Source organism: Homo sapiens, chromosome 14, assembly GCF_000001405.40.
Source record: "Homo sapiens chromosome 14, GRCh38.p14 Primary Assembly".
NCBI lineage: Eukaryota > Metazoa > Chordata > Mammalia > Primates > Hominidae > Homo > Homo sapiens.
In genome coordinates this window covers 54,233,299-54,255,581 of record NC_000014.9, presented here as the reverse complement: position 1 = coordinate 54,255,581, position 22,283 = coordinate 54,233,299, and the positions used below count along the sequence as shown (strand labels likewise).

At 41.6% G+C, this 22,283-nt stretch overlaps 1 annotated feature.

Moving 5' to 3' along the window:
- Positions 2,803-4,002: an enhancer, noted in NCBI's record as "CDK7 strongly-dependent group 2 enhancer chr14:54718298-54719497 (GRCh37/hg19 assembly coordinates)". NCBI's record gives its function as "activates an origin of replication core promoter dependent on BRD2, BRD4, P300/CBP, MED14 and CDK7 cofactors, with strong dependence on CDK7, by STARR-seq in HCT116 cells {active_cell/tissue: HCT116}" and the evidence as "EXISTENCE:reporter gene assay evidence [ECO:0000049][PMID:35650434]".

The following is a 22,283-nucleotide window of genomic DNA, read 5'->3' as shown; positions in this document are numbered from 1 at the left end:
TGTGGATGAGGGTTGTTTGCCCTAATATATTTCATTTTTAAATTTTTCAACTGATTAGTAGTCAACCTAAAAATGTCGAGATTTCCCATGAAAATCTAGAATTCTGGTTTCTCTTGAATCCTTGGTGGCTCTGAGAGGAGGGGATGGCATTCTCAGAAGGAGATGGCTGTCTGAGGCCATGGCTGTCCCCTGGATGCTGGCGGTGTGCTTGCCCACACACAGTTCCCAGACTCTCCAGCCTGTCTGCCTTGGCCCTGCTCACACATCTTCCTGCCTGCCTCCAGGCACATGATGGAATTCGTAGGACTTAGGAAGGCCTCTCTTTCACAGGTACTGGCTTTTAACAATTAGAGGATGTTCTTTCACGCAAAAATGTCTTCTCTCTTTCAGAATGTACTGTTGACCCTTGAACAACACAGGTTTAAACTGTGAAGGTCCACTTATACATGAATTTTATCCCATCTTTGCCACCCCAAGACAGCAAGACCAACCCCTTCTCTCCCTCCTTCTCAGCCTACTCAACATGAAGACAACAAAGATGAATGATCCACTTCCATTGTATGATGTTCCTCTTCCACTTAATGGATCATAAGTATATTTTCTCTTTCTTATGATTTTCTTAATAACATGTTGTTTTCTCTGGCTTACTTTATTGTAAGAATGCAGCATATAATACATGTAACATACAAAATATGTGTCAAATGACTGTGTTATCAGTAAGGCTTCTGGTCAACAGTAGGCTATTCATAGTTAAGTTTTTGGGAAGTCAAAAGTTATACACAGATTTTTGAGTGTGTGGTCAGGGTGGCAGTCAGTACCCCTAACCCCTGCATTGTTCAAGGACCAACTGTATTGCTTTGGTGTAGATGTCCATGAAGTCATATATACCTTAGTGACCAACGTGAATTAGTTTGTCAGATGATACCAAAAACTAGGACAAGGGTGGGCATAAAGGAAAAAAAGAGGAGGAGGTCTCAGTGAAGGACCTTGTGCTCATTTAGCATGTGGGCTGAGGACAAAGATTGGGCAGAAAGTACAGCAGAGCTCCCTCCCCTACATTCATCTGTTTGAAGCCTCTACCCAGGCACATGAATAACAAGAAAGCTGTCTGGAGGCTCGTGGAGGCCTTGATGTCTCCTGTTAATAGAGATAGTGGAACTGTTTTTTCTATGTTCTTAGGTTTCTGGGCATATTTTGAGAGGAGGGAAAGAGTTATAGGGTGACTATAAAGGGAATAATTCTGCAGATAGTTTTGAGCAATGCCATTACATAAATCATCTCTATTTAGTCATCTGAAAGAGCAAAGAGGACTATTTTAACTTCAGCTCCTTTTAATTCTCCATACAATAGAGGTACTAAGGGTGTTAGCAGAGTGGCCAAAAGTCAGGGAGCTTGAGTGAGGAGGGGAAGAAGGAAAGGTCTTGGGCATCCCCTGACTTTGAGTCCTGGACCCTGGCCCTAAGAACAGCCACACAGGCCTTTCCCCACAGCCTTGTCAGCCAACATCCCCCCAAACTGTGTCCCACTTAAAATAATGAATCCCAGAATCCCTTATTGGATTCAGCCAATCCACATGGTGTGGTTCGGCTTTTAAGAAGAATAAATCAACATTTAAAGCCTGCCTGGATTTATTGTAAACAGTCTCTCTCCACTAAAAATGGCCCACAGTGTGATTTGGCCCCGTGCTAGGATGGTGGCTCCATTTTGGAGCCACATTTGCCTTTAAAATAACACAGCCGTGAGCAAATGCACCTCACTGTTGGCTGCATGCATGTTTTCTTAGGAACTTGAAAGGGCTTCTCTCTGAGTCACCTTAGCTGCTCTTCTGAGTCATTTCTAGGGTTGAGAAGGAGAATGACAGAGAAGGGAGCAATGAGGCTGGGTGAGCAGCAGCCTCACTGTTGTTCTTGCCTGCTGTGACCTGTGACATGTGCTCAGATCTCCTCTGGCCTCGAGGAAACCCCTGGAAGGCGGTCTTCCCATCTACCAGGAAGGAGTAGACAGATTTTTCTACCAGTGCAAAAGGGTGTTCAGTGTGTATTGCAGGTTGCCCTGTAGCCTTCCCAAGACCAACTTTCCAAGACTGCCAGGCTTGATCCCCTTTGAGGCTGGTCCCAGGTGGGGGTGGCCTTCACCTGCAGCACCCATATACTCTGTAGCCAGCACAGGGAGGCTGCCTAAATCTCCTTACTTACCTATGAGGTATGCATAGATCTGAGGCTTGAGTCATGGTGGAACTTGTGACCTATCCCTGATCCCACTCTTTGTTTGTGATCTGGAGGCCCTCTCACATCCCCAGTTTCTGATAGAGTCTTTGCCTCAGTATCTGACTACTGCTCAGGCATATTACAAAGACATTACCTACCTGGTGAGATTTCTTACTAGAAATATGTTTTTCCAGTTAATGGTTCCCTGGAATCCGAATAGGTATATTTTAACATTGGCTTCACTATTTGTTAGTTTGGTGAATTAGGGCAAATTAACTTAATGTTTTGAAACCTCAATTTCTACAACCATATAACAGAGATTGCAATAGTGGTAACTAACTTCATAGGGCTGATGTGAGAATTAAATGAGGTAGTCTCTGTAAAGTACTTATCAGGGTACCTAGAACCCATTGAGTATTTAGTAAATGTTCCTATTATTATATCTTCATGAATGTAGAAATTAAGATGCACTCTTGAGACTCCCAGGGCATGACTGGCCCATTGCAAAACATCATAGCTACCATGAACATCTGAGTCTTCATAAGTGGACCTGGCCTTAAGTCCTCCTGGCAGGTGTATCATGCTGATCTCATGGCTGGTCTGTTCAGGAAGTTCATTGCTGGCTAAGGGAAGAGCTCCCCTCCCAGAGGCACATGGGCATCCCCTGGAGAGAAGATTCCAAATTTTCCAGCCAGTCTTCAGTCAGCTCTTTGGACCCAGGATCTGAGGCTACAGCAGTATTCAGACTTCTTAAACTATTTGAATAGCTGCTTCCTTCTGCATCCTTGGACACATTAAAAGCAGTGTACACATAAGACTCTTTGGCTAGTGTTCCCAAGCTGAGTCAGATTCTGGGTTGAAGGTGAGACACAAAATAGCAAACAGAAGCAAGGCAGACAGGCACTCACACCTGGGTGCTAGGAATGAACAAAACAGATGCCCAGAAAGTCGGGAAGAATTTGTCTGTGAACACAGAGTCTTCTGGATTTACCATTTTGATTCCAGCAGCTCCTAGAAGACTTTCAAAGTGAAGGAGTGCCCCCTTAGGATTGCTGAAGTGACCAAGCACCTGTGTGGGGAGCCACACCCAGCCATTCCTAAGAGGACTCTGATTTATGGAGAGAGGGATTCAGAGCTCAGCTGCATTCTTGTGGCTGGGATCAAAAGGGCTTTCTCACTGACCACAGATCATATCCCGGCAATTCTCCCCAGACAGAACATTCCTGAGAATGAATGTGGTCTTGACCACAGCCCATGGGGTGGAGTAAAACTGGGAGGGTACATACCTGGGAGGATGGCATTTTTAATAGTCTAAAACAAAGGTTTATGTACCCCCAGACCAGATTTGGAGAACGTTGTACTCTCCCCTTCTTGCCTAGGCATAACCTGTTTAGTGGAAAATGAGCTAAACTGAATTTTCATCCTGACAGATTACTTTACTTCTTTGGGACTTAGTTTCTTTGTTGAAATGGGAATGTTTGATTCTAATCAGAGGGACCATTTTTAGGTGGTTTGCCACAGTCCTCACCTTTCCATATTGTCTCATATATGGCTTGCTTCACTCCTTTCCAGTACCTCTCTGACCCCATTAAGAATTTGAATTTGTAGCCTCTGGACTGGATAATCTGTAAGCCCTTTTCCCCTCACTTTCCAGCTGCAACATTCTTGAAAATCATAGTTATGAGTAGACTATTTAAAATAACTGTCTAGTTGAGATGTGTATGTGTCTTCTGGAACGAGGAATGGACACAGCTGGGACTGGGAGTGGGGTGCCTGCTGGTGGAGTCATGTCTGGCAATCCCAAAGCAGAAAAGAGTGCCAGCGTTAAGTGGGAAAACCTGCCTACGGGACTGACACATCCAAGATAATCCACTGTTTGCTTTTCCAGAGTATTCTCAAGAGTTGGCTTGCTCACTTGTTCCAGGGCAACTTGTCCCTGAAAGGGTCAGCAAAATTGTGCTTTCTCCTTTGACGGGGTGTGTGAGCCTGGCAGAGAGAAGAAAGGGATGAGGGATTCTGAACTTTCTTCTGCCAGCCAGCATCACTTATGTGAATTTCAGTTGTCTATGTCTGTAATAAGAAGGAAAAAAAATGCTCAGTATAATTGGATCTCCAAATCCAAATCCATTTTGGAAGATACTGTACCCAAAATGAGCTGGTATAAGGCAGAGGGGGCTGCCCAGGCCTCCCTTTGTTTTTCTTCCATTCCTGATGAAGTCACAGCCAAGAATTTTGTTTGATGAGGAAGTAAATTATATCATATGTGTAGGTCTTTAGAGATAGTACCAGCCATATTTGAAGGACTTTTAACACAAACATTAATATTTATATCTGGCCTGTGGGTTCTATTTGTGGCACAATAGCCTGAACTTAGATAAGAATCCTGTAGATAAGAAGAAAGTTTATGCTTTAGTTAATGAGAGATTTCTCGCCTGCCCTTCCTAATGGACTCAGCAGTTGGCAATTACGTCGTGCTGATAACTGGCCTCTCTCGGCTCCCCAAGCATGGAGCCAAGAGAAGGGGTATGGTGGAGGGGGCTGATAGACAGGGAAGAGTCCTGTAGAGTAAAGAGAATATTATATGATAAATGGCTCCTAGCTCACAGAGTGGTATCCAAAACTCAAGAAAAAGAATATTCTGAATACTGAACCATTAACTGAGGGACAAGATCTCACTCACAAGCTGTGGACACTGGAAAAAAGAACAATGTATGGCTCTGTATCATCCACCATTTTCTTACATGTGTAAGTACATTTTTTTTAAACAGCTTTCTTCCTGCACAGAGCTCATTAAATTAAGGAAAGTAGGCTACTCATTTGGGGAGCGGACTCTGACAAGTACCGAGAGAGGTGTAGCCTCCTTGAAAGTTCTAGAAATCTTGTGGATTAGAAAAAACTCTTTCAAAGCAGGCCTTGATGGTTGCTCATAATACAGTGGAGTGTCTATAATATTACTGGGGCTTAGAGAGACCCTGAATATACAGGAATCTTTTACCTTCTTAATAAAAATACCTTTTAAAAAATAAAGTGGTTATGTTAACTTTTAGGGATATGGATTAGTCACTTGACTAATTATATACTGAGTTTATCAATGTAGTTGCAAATATTCAAAATTGTCTTCAATATAAAATGTTTTTAATTTAGAAATACTGCATTGTTCACTCTCATAGTTTAAGAAACTAGATATTTTATTAAAACTCTTCACCCCTATCTGTGACATATAGGCCTTCTTTCTAGCCCTGTAACACAATTTATCAGAACACATGGTCCTCACCTCTGTCTGTTTCAGAGATAGAGTGTTTGAATCTGTGTATGCCAAGCCACAGTTTGCCATTTATATAACATTGGGGAATTATTTTGTTTTTCATTTATTTTCTACATGTATAGTTGTGATCTGCACAAATGTAACCTTTACTCTACGACTTCTTAAAATGTTTTTTTAAAAGTTCCTTTGAAATGACACATAATATTTGCAATTAATCTGGGTGAAATTTCTTTGTCTCTCCAACTTTTTAAAAAGACCAGTTCTATCAGGTGACTTCTATAAGTATTCTAAATTAGTTTGATTGTGTTCTTTTAGTCTAATTATTTAATTTTTGATTAAATAATGTAATTGAGAGTATATCCCATAATATAAAGTATACATAAAGATGGAAATATAAGATTACATCCTTAACAGTTAACTTTGGGTTTTAAAAACAGGTGCCTTATATTTGGGTATCTATATAGTATATATTTTAACATATTTTCATTTTTTATTGAGTTGGTTGATGTGGCACTTTGCTGCAATTTGGACACAAATCATGAGATTAATTATTTACTAAGATCCACAAATATAAGTGATATGAATGTACACACAAATGTATATTGGGAATTGTTTTAAGTTCTATGTGGGTCAAAATAAGTAAGAATGTCCTGGTGTTGAAATATTCATGAATTTGTTTAACAAATGGCAGTTTTTATTCTACATAATATGAATTTCTCTACTTAAAATGAATTCTATGGAGCATCGGTTTCTTGAGGTGTTCTGAGAAAACAAAAACAAAAATAAAACCATGGCCAAATAAGGGTAGAAAAAGCTATATACTGGGTTCTTTACTTAGATACTTAAAGTGCATGTTAGCCTGTTAGAGGCTCTGAAAGTCCTACAGGAAGTAAGTTGTTTTTAATCCAGTGTTTTGCTAATAGTTTCCACTATGGAACCTTCTGTACAAAGCAATTATTAACATTTTGTGAAACTGTAGTTACCTGTGGCACTCACTTTCTCTCTCTCTTTCTCTGTCTCTCTCTCTCTCTCTCTGTCTCTCTCTCCTTCTCTCTCCCTCTCCCTCCCTCTCCCCTAACCTTTCAAAAGCAAAGAGGGAGAAATGCGGAGGGGAGATGCCTCATAGCACCTGGGAGGGTGCCCATGTCCTTGAGGGAATATGTGCAGGCACTTTAAGGCGCAGCTGGGAAGAAGAGCAACAGACAAAGTCAAGCATTGGGGAACATTTCCTTTGATAAGGGGGATCTTATTATTCTGTGTGCCCCTTGGGGGAACTGGGTGTGCTGGACCAGGCTGCCAAGCGTGTGTGTGCATGAGCTCTGGGGGTCCCCTGAGAGAGCCCTGGCTCTCCTTCCTAACAAGGGAGACCAAGAAGTGTAGCCCCGTCACTCCTGAGAGGGCAGGGCTACCTCTGAGCAGGCAAGAGTGGTAACTGAGTAACTGAGGGATGGTTTCCAGGGTCTCATGGGGTGACATGACTCAAATGCTCTATTATCTTTGGACCAATCCCCCACCAACCCCGATCTCAAGAAAACTGATACCAAATTCCTAAAAAGGAATTTTGGAAACCCTGTTTAAATGCATGGATTACTGTTTTTTTGTGACTTAATGAAAAATGTTAAACCTTGTGGGTGGAGGGCCCTCTCCTTAACGTAGAACAACCTCCAGCGATGGCAAAAGAGTGGCTTGGGTCACTCTACCCTGGGTGACTGCATCAGGCAGAGAGTGGTAGGAGCACAGCTTTAGCCAGGGACATCCCCAGCAGGCCGGGTGGGGAGTGCACGATCACAAGGAGGAGAATGGATTATACGTGACAGCCCAGATGAGGGCTGAAATAGTAGACAGAGTCCTGGTGAGACATTGAGAAGATCCTTGAGCAATGGAAGAAGGTGCTGTGGACTGGATGTGCCAGATCCCACAGCTACACGTGTTTCTTCAGGTAACCCTGAAACTGGCATACCTGGGGGAGAAGTCCCCAAATGTCATCTGTGGACCACAAAACCTTGAGTAACGTTTGAAAAAAAAAAGCTTTGATTTTTGCAGCTCCCCTGAAGATTTGGAATTAGCAGAGATGATCCCTGAATTGATTTTTTGCAAGGTCCCCCAGTGATTCTGAGGTGCATCCAGATTGAAGGACCCACTAATATGGGGGAAGCACAGGTTTTGTATTAAAAACATTTCTCAGCCACATGCGGTAGCTCACGCCTGTAATCCCAGAACTTTGGGAGACCAAGGTGGGTGGATCACCTGAGGTCAGGAGTTCAAGACCAGTCTGGCCAACATGGTGAAACCCCATCTCTACTAAAAATACAAATTAAATAAATAAATAAATAAGTAAATAAATAAGCAAGCAAGCTGGGCGTGGTGGTGGGCACCTGTAATCCCAGCAGCGTGGGAGGCTGAGGCAGGAGAATCACTTGAACCTGGGAGGCAGAGGTTGCAGTGAGCTGAGATCGCGCCACTGCACTCCAGCCTGGGCAACAAGAGAGAAACTCCGTCTCAAAAAAAGAAAAAAAATTTCTTGAACTTCACAACAGAGAATTTATTGAATTTTCTGTTGTGAAATAAACTTGGAGAAATTAAAATACATTCTGTTAATCTCACAGACACTAATAGTTTATGAAATGCAGGAGTATTCTTAAAAATAATGAAACAATTGCACTTGCTTATCCTGGTTTAAAGAGTCTTGTCTCTTATTCATACATTTGCTTGCAGACCCGAGTTATCCCTTGTTCTCTTCCACTCCTTTCCCTTCCTTCATTTGTCCTTGTTTGTCTGGGACCTTTCTTTGTGCTCACCTGCCCAAGCCGGGATCCAGCTCTGATGTCTGTGGGGATCCTTCCCATTTGAAGCTTTTCTGCCAGACTACTCAGAAGTAAAGTGATTTTTGATGTTTATTTTTTACTCTTGCTGGATTATCTACCCTTTGATACTTATTAAATAATCTTACTCTCTTCATTCCTGAGCCTTCTAGCTAGAAATAGCCAGGGGATAATTTTCTATTTTTAATAACATTGATGGCACCAGAGAGCCAGACTCTATCCTCAGAGGTCAATTTCATGCATGTCTTACCAGGCAAATCCATTTGAAGGGAGACTTTGACCAACAGGGAAAAACACTGCAAACTCCACGCCTCTGATCAGTCTGCTTTATGGCAATTCCTCTTTAGATTTTTCTATTTGAAATAGACAACAGTCTTATTTGTTCTGTGTCATTTTGCAAAACTTTTGGGCAAGGTGCTTGTGTCTCAGTTTCCCTTTCATCTGTAAAATGGAAGTAATAATGTAACCATACAAAATATGAACTATTTTGCAAAGAACTGTGTAATGCAAGTGTGGCTGGTTTAAGTGTAACTTACCCAAAATGTGTTCATCATTTAAAATTGAAACCTGCAAAGAACAATTTGATGGCAACTGCATTTTCAATGAGCGGCTTGAGGTCATAGTTCATAAAATAGTCCTGCACCACTTCGGTCATTTTCTGCAGAATTTGTAAACTGAAGGGATGGAATGCTCTTCGCTGTGTAAATTCTGCATCTGCTATTTCTTACAACTGCTTTCCCCAGGGCATGAGTGACTGAAGCAGTGAAGTTAGTAGAGAAAACAGGTGTGCCTGTTCAAAGGAGGAATGTAAGCCCCTCTCCAAGAGAGATTCACAATCCAGGCATCCCTGTGGGCAGAGCTGACTGGTACAGAGCTGGCTCCTTGCATGGATTTTCCAACTTGAAGCTTGGCACATTCAGGGGAAGATTGACCCTGTCTGCAGGATGGGATGTATGCTTTTTCTATGTAGTATGCAGGAGTTCCTCTGGTTTTCATTGTGGAGATTTTGCCAGTTAGAGTAAATGGACTATGCTTGCCTGGGCACATACCTTCAAAACTTGAACCCTAGAACTGCTCATTGGTGAGTTTGAATATTTGTCCCCTCCAAAATTCTTATGGAAATTTAATCCCCAGTGTGGTAGTATTGAAAGGTGGGGCCATAAGAGGTGATTGGGTCATGAGGGCTCTGGCCTCATGAATGGATGGATCCATTCAGAGATTAATGGGTTAATGGATGAATGGGTTATCATGGGAGGGGAACTGGTGGCTTTATAAGCAGAGGGAGAGAGACCTGAGTTAGCACGTTAGCACACTGAGCTCCTCCTCACCATGTGATGCTCTGCACCACCTTAGGACTCTTCAGAAAATCTCCACCAGCAAGAAAGCTCTCACCAGATGTGCCGCCTCGACCTTGGACTTCCTAGCCTCCATAACTGTAAGAAATAAATTCCTTTTCTTTACAAATTACCCAGTTTCAGGTATTCTATAATAAGCAACAGAAAATGGACTGAGACAGTGCGTAAGACAAATCAGGAAAACTGGATTTTTATTTCATTTTGAAGCTATTTCTTTAAGAATCTGAGGTATAGGGGATAGCAAGTCATAGCTATAAAACATAAGGGACCTTAATGTCTAATCTTAAAGGGGCACTACAAACCCTCAAGGGGATGCTTCCCAGGCAAAGTGTCAAGGTCGCATTACCTCAAAGACAATAGGGCCCAGGTTCTATCTAGTCTTAAAATTGCAGATTTGGAAACAATTTTTTTCAGTACCTAGGAACCCTTGAAGACTAACTATCTCATGCCCACAAAACTCAGAAAAGGTTGTGTAAATCAAAGTGATAACAGTTTGGCTTATACTGAGAAATTATCTGTTAAATTGGCTACACACTTTTGTTGGCTGGATGAAATATTTGTATTGCTTTCCAACAATAAATATAACTCTTAAGTGCACCAGACATTTATACCAGCTTGCCTAGCATTTCTCTCTGTAGGAAGGCTATGGAGGAAGCTAAAATATAATCAAAAGGTTGCATAATGAGCATGGAGAGTGAGCTTGTCAATATTAATACCAAGCGCATCAAGCCATATAACTTGATGCATCCACCCACAGCATCAGAATTCATGCCAAGCAGGCTAGATATTTGAGCCAGAGGATCAGAACTCCTTCTTCCCTGTCTGGTGCTGGAAGCTTAGCTCATTTTTTTCTATGTATTCTGATGGCAAATTCCTTTCCTCTCCCAGTGTTTCTCACGTATGTCCTATAGTTCTCTAGTCCTGTTAGATTCTTTGGGGAAAAAAAGGTTCTGTGGCTGAAAAATTTAACGCTCCGTACAGTAACTTCATTTTGTGTATTCATCATGTTCATTAGCACATTAAAAGTTTTGAGCAAACCTGTTTAACTTTGTTTACTCCCACATTTTCCAAGCTTACTTGACCAAAGAATACTTTCTTTATGGAATATCTACTAGCATCCTGAGAAAGTAGGTGTTCCAGGGAATACTCTTTGGGAAATGCCAATGTTGGAAATGCCAATAGCTATAAGTGCCACCAATTGAGCAAGAGGCACATTCTCTCTCTTCTTACATTTTGCTTGGATGACACTCAGGGTTTTGTGGTTGCCTTACTTTTGTCTCCAGGTCCTGCCTATAATGACAGAAGACAAAAAGAAACAAAAGAAACCAGGGAAAATCCAAACAAAGATAAAATGGCCCTAGGGTGAAATAGGTTTCAGGAAGCTAGAAAGGCTGGCTTCTAAATTTCCTTCTAGTCCTAAATATTTGGGGCCCTAAAGACTGGGGAAAAAGCATTCACTTATTTATTTATTTATTTATTTATACTTTTTTCTTTTCCTACTAGCAAATGGAAAAAAATGACAATTTTGCAGAATAGGTAGAGTGAAGAGTTTCTGAAAGTTGACAGTAGTCATTGTGTTCTTATTTGTAATGGCTTTTAAGACTTAGCAAGTGACATAGTGGAAAAAGGCCTAACTTGACATTAGAAAACCTAGGTTCAAACCCCAACACCGCTCTGGTATTACCTTGGGCAAGTGACTTCAGCTTTCTGAGCTTCAGATTCTTCTTTATCAATTCAAATGGGAATAACACTGTTCATAGTGCCATTGTAAGGATGAAATAATGGCATCAGTAATATCCAACAGTGCTAAATATTTGTGCCTTGTTTCTTTTTGATTTTTCTAAACAAATATACATACTAGGTACAACAGAAGCAGAAACTAAGGCTTAAGGAAGTGAATAGCCTGCCCAAGAACACGCAGCTAGTAATGGTAGAGGTGGGATTTGAATCCAGGTATGTTTGGCTTCGAAGTCCATTTTCTCTGCAGTGAGGCTACACACAGAGTCCCAGGAACTAGCACAAAAGTATCTATCTAAGAAATATTTTAAAATATAATGGCTTTCTTTCTTTCTTTTTTTTCTTTTTTGACATAATTAGTCCATAGCCAAAAACTGGGCTGATTTATGTCAAGTATGAAACTGAAAATAGGTAGAGAAGATGACTCTCTAGGGAAGAAAAATCTCAAATCACATAAACCTTATATATTGTTTAACATAAATATTTTTAATTATATCACTATTCAGAAAGGTCTGCATGATGCCTGATAATCACTGCATAGAGTCTTTTGGTTTTGGCTTTTGTTCATATGCTATTATACTGCATTGAGTGCTCGATATTGGCAGACTATGTCATTCTTTAGAGTGAACAGTTGTGCTCAGCCAACCTTTTGGTTATTTACCATATTATGAGACATGCCTTTTCAAGATAGAAGCCAGAAAATGCATATGTCAGATTCCTTTGGGGCTAGGGGGCAGGGCTGTGACTTTGGCTGCATGACTACATGGCCCATGAAAGGTGAGTTTGGAGTGAGCCAGGCAAAGAGATGGCTGTATGAAAGGGAATCAGTTTTCCACTAAGGTTGATAGTGGAGTTAAACAAGGGAGGTGATACAGTTTAAATGTATATCCCTGCCAAATCTCATGTTGAATTGTAATCCCTAGTGTTGGAGGTGGGGCCTGGTGGGATATGTTTGGGTCATGAGAGCAAATTCATCATGAACGGTGTGGGCCATCTCTTTGGTGGTAAGTGAGCTCTTGCTCTGAATTCACACAGGATTTGATTGTTCAAAAGTGTGTGGTACTTCCCGCTTTACTCTCTTTCTTGCTCTTGCTTTCACCATATGAGATGTCTGCTCCTGCTTTGCCTTCCACCATGAGTAAAAGCTCCCTGAGGCCTCCCTACAAGCTGAGCAGTGTTGGTGCCATGCTTGTACAGCCTCCAGAACTGTGAGCCAATTAAACCTCTTTTCTTTATAAATTATCCAGTTGTGGGTATTTCTTTATAGTAACACAACAATGGCCTAATAAAAAAAAATTGGTACCAAGGAGTGGGCATTGCTATAAAGATACCTGAAAATGTGGAAGCAGCTTTGGAACTGGATAATGGGCAGAGGCTGGAAGAGTATGGAGGGCTCAAAAGAAGACGGGAAGATGAGGGAAAGTTTGGAATGTTTTAGAGACTGGTGAAATGGTTGTGACCAAAATGCTGATAGTAATACGGACAGTGAAGTCCAGGCTGATGAGGTTTCAGATGGAAATGAAGAACTTATTAAGAACTTGAGCAAAGGTCACTCTTAGTATGCCTTAGCAAAAAACTTGGCTGCATTCTGTTCATGACCTAGGGATCTGTGGAAGTTTGAGCTTAAGAGCAATGATTTAGGGCAAGGGTCTCCAACCCCTAAGTCGCAGACCAGTACCAGTTTGTGTCCTGTTAGGAACTGAGCCACACAGCAAGAGGTGAGCAGTAGGTGAGTGAGCATTACTGCCTGAGCTCCACCTCCTGTTAGATCAACCGTGGTATTAGATTCTCATAGGAGAGTGAACCCTATTGTGAACTGCACATTTGAGAGATCTAGGTTGCACACTCCTTATAAGAATCTAATACCTGATGATCTGAGGTGGAATTTTCATCCCCAAACCATCCCCCTTAGCCCCTGCCAGTCTGTGGAAAAATTGTCTTCCACAAAACTGGCCTCTAGTACAAAAAAGGTTGGGGACCACTGATTTAGGGTATCTGGAAGAAGAAATATCTAAGTAGCAAAATGTTCAAAATGTAGCCTGGCTGCTTCTAATACTCTACACTCAGATGCAGAAGCAAAGAAATTACTTTAAGTTAGAATTTATATTTAAACAGGAAGCAAAGTGTAAAAGTTTGGAAAATTTTACAGCCTGGTCATGTGGCAAAGAAAGAAAAAGCTTTTACAGGAGAAGAATTCAAGCAGACTGCAGAGCAACCACTTCCTAGAGATATTTGCATAAATAAAAGGGAACTAAGTGCTAATATCCAAGACAATGTGGAAGAGACCTTGAAAGCATTCCAGAAAATTTCCAGGCTATTCCTCCCATCACAGGCCCAGAGGCCTAGGAGAATTGAATGGTTTCAGGTGCTAGACCCCAGGGCCTCACTGCCCTAAGCAGCCTTGGGACACTGTTTCTACATCCAGGCCACTCTAGCTCCAGCCAGAGCTCAAAGGGGCCCAAGTACAGCTTGAGCTGCCACTTTGGAGAATGTGAGCTGTGAGCTTTGATGGCTTCCACGTGGTGTTAAGCCTGTGGGTGCAGAGTGCAAGAGCTGACTCTTGGTAGCCTCCACCTACGTTTCAGAGGATGTTTAAGGAAGTCTGGGTGTCCAAGAAAGAGCCTGCCACAGAGGCAGAGCCGTAACAGAGCTTTACATGAGTAAAATCTCCCTGAGGCCTCCCCAGGAGCTGAGCAATGTTGGTACTATGCTTGTACAGCGTGCAGAACTGTAAGCCAATTAAACCTCTTTTCTTTATAAAGTACTCAGTCTTAGGTATTTCTTATAGCAATGCAAGAATAACCTAATGCAGGAGGGGACAGTGGCAGAGTTCCTTGCCTCCAGTCCTAAGGGTCATAGGTACTGAGTATTGGTGTAATCAATGTTTTCCTTCAGGGCTATGGTTGAGCATCATCCCTGGTGGTGTAGCTTCAGGGTTTGGCTTTCTTGCCCTTCCGGAGAGTCTTGATCCATTTAATACTGTTTAATAAATTCTTTTTGCCTTGCCAGAGTGGATTCTGTTGTTTGTAACCTAAAATCTTCGCTGATACACAGTTTAATTGCAATGCCTGGCACACACTCAACAAATGCTTGCTAAATTCATAAATGGAGGGAAATTGTGAAACTGGTGATATCTGTGTGTGTGGCAGTGGTGGCGGGGAGGTGATCCTGATATACTTGTTGAATTTTCAGCATTGATCTTCATCCTTTGAAAACTATCTAGGGGTTTGGTGTTGGGGCATTTTTTTTTTCTGCTGTGACATTGCAAACAATGGGAGCACTGTGAATGTTATTATGTCCCTTCTTCACTTTAATTGTTTTGGGACCTCTTACTGAAGATATATGATTAAGTTTGTATTAGTTTTTCCTTCTCTGTAATTAAGTGGACAAGCTTTCTTCATTTCTGCTTGTCAGAAGGAAATTTGGAATATATGAGACCTGAGGTTAACTTTTGAGTTAAAGCCAACATTTTTTTTTTTTTTTGGTGGAGAATATACCTGTAAATTGCTGCATCCTTTGAGAGATATTAAACTGTGGGCCTCAGAGAGGCCCAGGAGCAGTTGCTTAACTTACCATTTTTGTTTAATGTTTTAAATATATTTTACTACTTATAAAGGGTTATTTAGAAATTGGTCTAATTTAGTTTTCTGTTTTATGGTGTTTAATTCAAGGATATCAGATCTTTGCTTGCAGCCTATTCTTTAGGGCCTAGAAAACCTCAAAGAATAAAGTTGTATACCTGAGTATCAGATTTATCACAGAAATGATATATAATAGGAGATTTATATGTTGGGTCAAATTTTCCCTTATTTTTCTTAACAATTTTGCAGTTCTGCTTGAGCATCCATTGGTTTCTTGGTGCACATCCTTGAAGAAGAGGTTGTGAATACAAATGCTTTATTAAATCTATACTAAATAGATTTGGAATTCTACTCAAAAAGAGGCAGAAAGAGGCCAATGAGTAGCAAGGAAGGAGACTGAATGGTCACATCCCCACCTCTCCTCTCTCTGAGGCCAAAAGGGAGACTTCCCTGGAGGGGTCACCCACTTCTGCTGCAGTCCCTCTTAAAGCATAACACCCATGACCTCCTCCAAGTGAAATGTCCATATGCTGGAGGGTTTTTTTTTCTTTTCTTTATTTATTTCTGTTTTGATATTTTTATTTTATTTTATTGTATTATTATTATACTTTAAGTATTAGGGTGCATGTGCACAATGTGCAGGTTAGTTACATATGTATACATGTGCCATGCTGGTGTGCTGCACCCATTAACTCGTCATTTAGCATTAGGTATATCTCCTAAAGCTATCCCTCCCCCCTCCCCCCACCCCACAACAGTCCCCAGAGTGTGATGTTCCCCTTCCTGTGTCCATGTGTTCTCATTGTTCAATTCCCACCTACGAGTGAGAATATGCGGAGTATGGTTTTTTGTCCTTGCAATAGTTTACTGAGAATGATGATTTCCAATTTCATCCATGTCCTTACAAAGGACATGAACTCATCATTTTTTATGGCTGCATAGTATTCCATGGTGTATATGTGCCACATTTTCTTAATCCAGTCTATCATTGTTGGACATTTGGGTTGGTTCCAAGTCTTTGCTATTGTGAATAGTGCCGCAATAAACATACGTGTGCATGTGTCTTTATAGCAGCATGATTTATAATCCTTTGGGTATATACCCAGTAATGGGATGGCTGGGTCAAATGGTATTTCTAGTTTTAGATCCCTGAGGAATTGCCACACTGACTTCCACAATGGCTGAACTAGTTTACAGTCCCACCAACAGTGTAAAAGTGTTCCTAATTCTCCACATCCTCTCCAGCACCTGTTGTTTCCTGACTTTTTCATGATTGCCATTCTAACTGGTGTGAGATGGTATCTCATTGTGGTTTTGATTTGCATTTCTCTGATGGCCAGTGATGGTGAGCATTTTTTCATGTGTTTTTTGGCTGCATAAATGTCTTCTTTTGAGAAGTGTCTGTTCATATCCTTCACCCACTTTTTGATGGGGTTGTTTTTTTCTTGTAAATTTGTTTGAGTTCATTGTAGATTCTGGATATTAGCCCTTTGTCAGATGAGTAGGTTGTGAAAATTTTCTCCCATTTTGTAGGTTGCCTGTTCACTCTGATGGTAGTTTCTTTTGCTGTGCAGAAGCTCTTTAGTTTAATTAGATCCCATTTGTCAATTTTGGCTTTTGTTGCCAATGCTTTTGGTGTTTTAGACATGAAGTCCTTGCCCATGCCTATGTCCTGAATGGTAATGCCTAGGTTTTTTTCTAGGGTTTTTATGGTTTTAGGTCTAACGTTTAAGTCTTTAATCCATCTTGAATTAATTTTTGTATAAGGTGTAAGGAAGGGATCCATTTTCAGCTTTCTACATATGGCTAGCCAGTTTTCCCAGCATCATTTATTAAATAGGGAATCCTTTCCCCATTGCTTGTTTTTGTCAGGTTTGTCAAAGATCAGATAGTTGTAGGTATGCGGCGTTATTTCTGAGGGCTCTGTTCTGTTCCATTGATCTATATCTCTGTTTTGGTACCAGTACCATGCTGTTTTGGTTACTGTAGCCTTGTAGTATAGTTTGAAGTCAGGTAGCGTGATGCCTCCAGCTTTGTTCTTTTGGCTTAGGATTGACTTGGCGATGTGGGCTCTTTTTTGGTTCCATATGAACTTGAAAGTAGTTTTTTCCAATTCTGTGAAGAAAGTCGTTGGTAGCTTGATGGGGATGGCATTGAATCTATAAATTACCTTGGGCAGTAGGGCCATTTTCACGATATTGATTCTTCCTACCCACGAGCATGGAATGTTCTTCCATTTGTTTGTATCCTCTTTTATTTCATTGAGCAGTGGTTTGTAGTTCTCCTTGAAGAGGTCCTTCACGTCCCTTGTAAGTTGTATTCCTAGGTATTTTATTCTCTTTGAAGCAATTGTGAGTGGGAATTCACTCATGATTTGGCTCTCTTTTTGTCTGTTATTGGTGTGTAAGAATGCTTGTGATTTTTGCACATTGATTTTGTATCCTGAGACTTTGCTGAAGTTGCTTATCAGCTTAAGGAGATTTTGGGCTGAGACAATGGGGTTTTCTAGATATACAATCATGTCATCTGCAAAAGGGGACAGTTTGACTTCCTCTTTTCCTAATTGAATACCCTTTATTTCCTTCTCCTGCCTAATTGCCCTGGCCAGAACTTCCAACACTACGTTGAATAGGAGTGGTGAGAGAGGGCATCCCTGTCTTGTGCCAGTTTTCAAAGGGATTGCTTCCAGTTTTTGCCCATTCAGTATGATATTGGCTGTGGGTTTGTCATAGATAGCTCTTATTATTTTGAGATACGTCCCATCAATACCTAATTTATTGAGAGTTTTTAGCATGAAGCGTTGTTGAATTTTGCCAAAGGCCTTTTCTGCATCTATTGAGATAATCATGTGGTTTTTGTCTTTGGTTCTGTTTGTATGCTGGATTACATTGATTGATTTGCGTATATTGAACCAGCCTTGCATCCCAGGGATGAAGCCCACTTGATCCTGGTGGATAAGCTTTTTGATGTGCTGCTGGATTCGGTTTGCCAGTATTTTATTGAGGATTTTTGCATCAATGTTCCTCAAGGATATTGGTCTAAAATTCTCTTTTTTGGCTGTGTCTCTGCCTGGCTTTGGTATCAGGATGATGCTGGCCTCATAAAATGAGTTAGGGAGGATTCCCTCTTTTTCTATTGATTGGAATAGTTTCAGAAGGAATGGTACCAGTTCCTCCTTCTACCTCTGGTAGAATTCGGCTGTGAATCCATCTGGTCCTGGACTCTTTTTGGTTGGTAAGCTGTTGATTATTGCCACAATTTCAGAGCCTGTTATTGGTCATTCAGAGAGTCAACTTCTTCCTGGTTTAGTCTTGGGAGCGTGTATGTGCCGAGGAATTTATCCATTTCTTCTAGATTTTCTAGTTTATTTGCGTAGAGGTGTTTGTAGTATTCTCTGATGGTAGTTTGTATTTCTGTGGGATCGGTGGTGATATCCCCTTTATCATTTTTTATTGTGTGTATTTGATTCTTCTCTCTTTTCTTCTTTATTAGTCTTGCTAGCGGTCTATCAATTTTGTTGATTGTTTCAAAAAAGCAGCTCCTGGATTCATTAATTTTTTGAAGGGTTTTTTGTGTCTCTATTTCCTTCAGGTCTGCTCTGATTTTAGTTATTTCTTGCCTTCTGCTAGCTTTTGAATGTGTTTGCTCTTGCTTTTCTAGTTCTTTTAATTGTGATGTTAGGGTGTCAATTTTGGGTCTTTCCTGCTTTCTCTTGTGGGCATTTAGTGCTATAAATTTCCCTCTACACACTGCTTTGAATGTGTCCCAGAGATTCTGGTATGTTGTGTCTTTGTTCTCTTTGGTTTCAAAGAACATCTTTATTTCTGCCTTCATTTCGTTATGTACCCAGTAGTCATTCAGGAGCAGGTTGTTCAGTTTCCATGTAGTTGAGCGGTTTTAAGTGAGTTTCTTAATCCTGAGTTCTAGTTTGATTGCACTGTGGTCTGAGAGACAGTTTGTTATAATTTCTGATCTTTTACATTTGCTGAGGAGAGCTTTACTTCCAACTATGTGGTCAATTTTGGAATAGGTGTGGTGTGGTGCTGAAAAAAATGTATATTCTGTTGATTTAGGGTGGAGAGTTCTGTAGATGTCTATTAGGTCTGCTTGGTGCAGAGCTGAGTTCAATTCCTGGGTATCCTTGTTAACTTTCTGTCTGGTTGATCTGTCTAATGTTGACAGTGGGGTGTTAAAGTCTCCCATTATTATTGTGTGGGAGTCTAAGTCTCTTTGTAGGTCACTCAGGACTTGCTTTATGAATCTGGGTGCTCCTGTATTGGGTGCATATATATTTAGGATAGTTAGCTCTTCTTGTTGAATTGATCCCTTTACCATTATGTAATGGCCTTCTTTGTCTCTTTTGATCTTTGTTGGTTTAATGTCTGTTTTATCCGAGACTAGGATTGCAACCCCTGCCTTTTTTTGTTTTTCATTTGCTTGGTAGATCTTCCTCCATCCTTTTATTTTGAGTCTATGTGTGTCTCTGCACGTGAGATGGGTTTCCTGAATACAGCACACTGATGGGTCTTGACTCTTTATCCAATTTGCCAGTCTGTGTCTTTTAATTGGAGCATTTAGTCCATTTACATTTAAAGTTAATATTGTTATGTGTGAATTTGATCCTGTCATTATGATGTTAGCTGGTTATTTTGCTCGTTAGTTGATGCAGTTTCTTCCTAGCCTTGATGGTCTTTACAATTTGGCATGATTTTGCAGTGGCTGGTACCAGTTGTTCCTTTCCATGTTTAGTGCTTCCTTCAGGAGCTCTTTTAGCGCAGGCCTGGTGGTGACAAAATCTCTCAGCATTTGCTTGTCTGTAAAGTATTTTATTTCTCCTTCACTTATGAAGCTTAGTTTGGCTGGATATGAAATTCTGGGTTGAAAATTCTTCTCTTTAAGAAAGTTGAATATTGGCCCCCACTCTCTTCTGGGTTGTAGAGTTTCTGCCGAGAGATCCGCTGTTAGTCTGACGGGCTTCCCTTTGTGGGTAACCCGACCTTTCTCTCTGGCTGCCCTTAACATTTTTTCTTTCATTTCAACTTTGGTGAATCTGACACTTATGTGTCTTGGAGTTGCTCTTCTCGAGGAGTATCTTTGTGGCGTTCTCTGTATTTCCTGAATCTGAATGTTGGCCTGCCTTGCTAGATTGGGGAAGTTCTCCTGGATAATATCCTGCAGACTGTTTTCCAACTTGGTTCTTTTCTCCCTGTCACTTTCAGGTACACCAGTCAGACGTAGATTTGGTCTTTTCACATAGTCCCGTATTTCTTGGAGGCTTTGTTCGTTTCTTTTTATTTTTTTTCTCTAAACTTCCCTTCTCGCTTCATTTCATTCATTTCATCTTCCATCACTGATACCCTTTCTTCCAGTTTATCGCATTGGCTCCTGAGGCTTCTGCATTCTTCACGTAGTTCTCGAGACTTGGCTTTCAGCTCTATCAGCTCCTTTAAGCACTTCTCTGTATTGGTTATTCTAGTTACACATTCTTCTAAATTTTTTTCAAAGTTTTTAACTTCTTTGCCTTTGGTTTGAATTTCCTCCTTTAGCTTGGAGTAGTTTGATTGTCTGAAGCCTTCTTCTCTCAACTCGTCAAAGTCATTCTCCATCCAGCTTTGTTCCGTTGCTGGTGAGGAACTGCGTTCCTTTGGAGGAGGAGAGGCACTCTGCTTTTTAGAGTTTTTCTGCTCTGTTTTTTCCCCATCTTTGTGGTTTTATCTACTTTTGGTCTTTGATGATGGTGATGTACAGATGGGTTTTTGGTGTGGATGTCCTTTCTGTTTGTTAGTTTTCCTTCTAACAGACAGGACCCTCAGCTGCAGGTCTGTTGGAGTTTGCTAGAGGTCCACTCCAGACCCTGTTTGCCTGGGTACCAGCAGCAGTGGCTGCAGAACAGTGGATTTTCGTGAACCACGAATGCTGCTGTCTGATCGTTCCTCTGGAAGTTTTGTCTCAGAGGAGTACCTGGTCGTGTGAGGTGTCAGTCTGCCCCTACTTGGGGGTGCCTCCCAGTTAGGCTGCTCAGGGGTCAGGGGTCAGGGACCCACTTGAGGAGGCAGTCTGCTCGTTCTCAGATCTCCAGCTGTGTGCTGGGAGAACCACTGCTTTCTTCAAAGCTGTCAGACAGGGACATTTAAGTCTGCAGAGGTTACTGTTGTCTTTTTGTTTGTCTGTGCCCTGCCCCCAGAGGTGGAGCCTACAGAGGCAGGCAGGCCTCCTTGAGCTGTGGTGGGCTCCACCCAGTTCGAGCTTCCCGGCTGCTTTGTTTACCTAAGCAAACCTGGGCAATGGCGGGCGCCCCTCCTCCAGCCTCGCTGCCGCCTTGTAGTTTGATCTCAGACTGCTGTGCTAGCAATCAGCGAGACTCTGTGGGTGTAGGACCCTCTGAGCCAGGTGCAGGATATAATCTCCTGGTGCGCCGTTTTTTAAGCCTGTCGGAAAAGCGCAGTATTGGGGTGGGAGTGACCCGATTTTCCAGGTGCTGTCTGTCACCCCTTTCTTTGACTAGGAAAGAGAACTCCCTGACCCCTTGCACTTCCCGAGTGAGGCAATGCCTCGCCCTGCTTTGGCTCGTGCACGGTGTGCTGCACCCACTGTCCTGAGCCCACTGTCTGGCACTCCCTAGTGAGATGAACTCAGTACCTCAGATGGAAATGCAGAAATCACCAGTCTTCTGCGTCGCTCACGCTGGGAGCTGTAGACCGGAGCTGTTTCTATTCGGCCATCTTGGCTCCAGCCCCTCCTTTTATTTATTTTTTGACACAGAGTCTCACTTTGTTGCCAGGCTGGAGTGCAGTGGCACAATCTTGGCTTAGTGTGAACTCTGCCTCCCAGGTTCAAGCGATTCTCCTGCCTCAGCCTCCCGAGTAGCTGGGACTACAGATGCACACCACCACACCCACCTAATTTTTGTATTTTTAGTAGAGAAGGAATTTCACCACATTGGCCAGGATGGTCTTGATCTCTTGACCTTGTGATCCGCCCACCTTGGCCTCCCAAAGTGCTGGGATTACAGGCATGAGCCACTGTGCCTGGCCCATATACTGAAGTTTTAAGATAACCATCTTTATTATTTTTTTGGGCTCAAATTTGTGTTAATTATGGGAAATTTCACCAAATAGCGCTAACACACATGAAGGTGTTTTGTGAAGATTATTTTTCCCAAGGGAAAAAGGTGAACTAATTGCCTTGCAATCACACGTTAGGATGCTCTTAAGGATCTGGCTTATCTGGAAACGAAACATTTAAAAGATAACATTGACCCTTCACTTAAATCTCACCCCCAGCAGAGTCAAAGTTTTGTGGCACTTCTCTTTGTC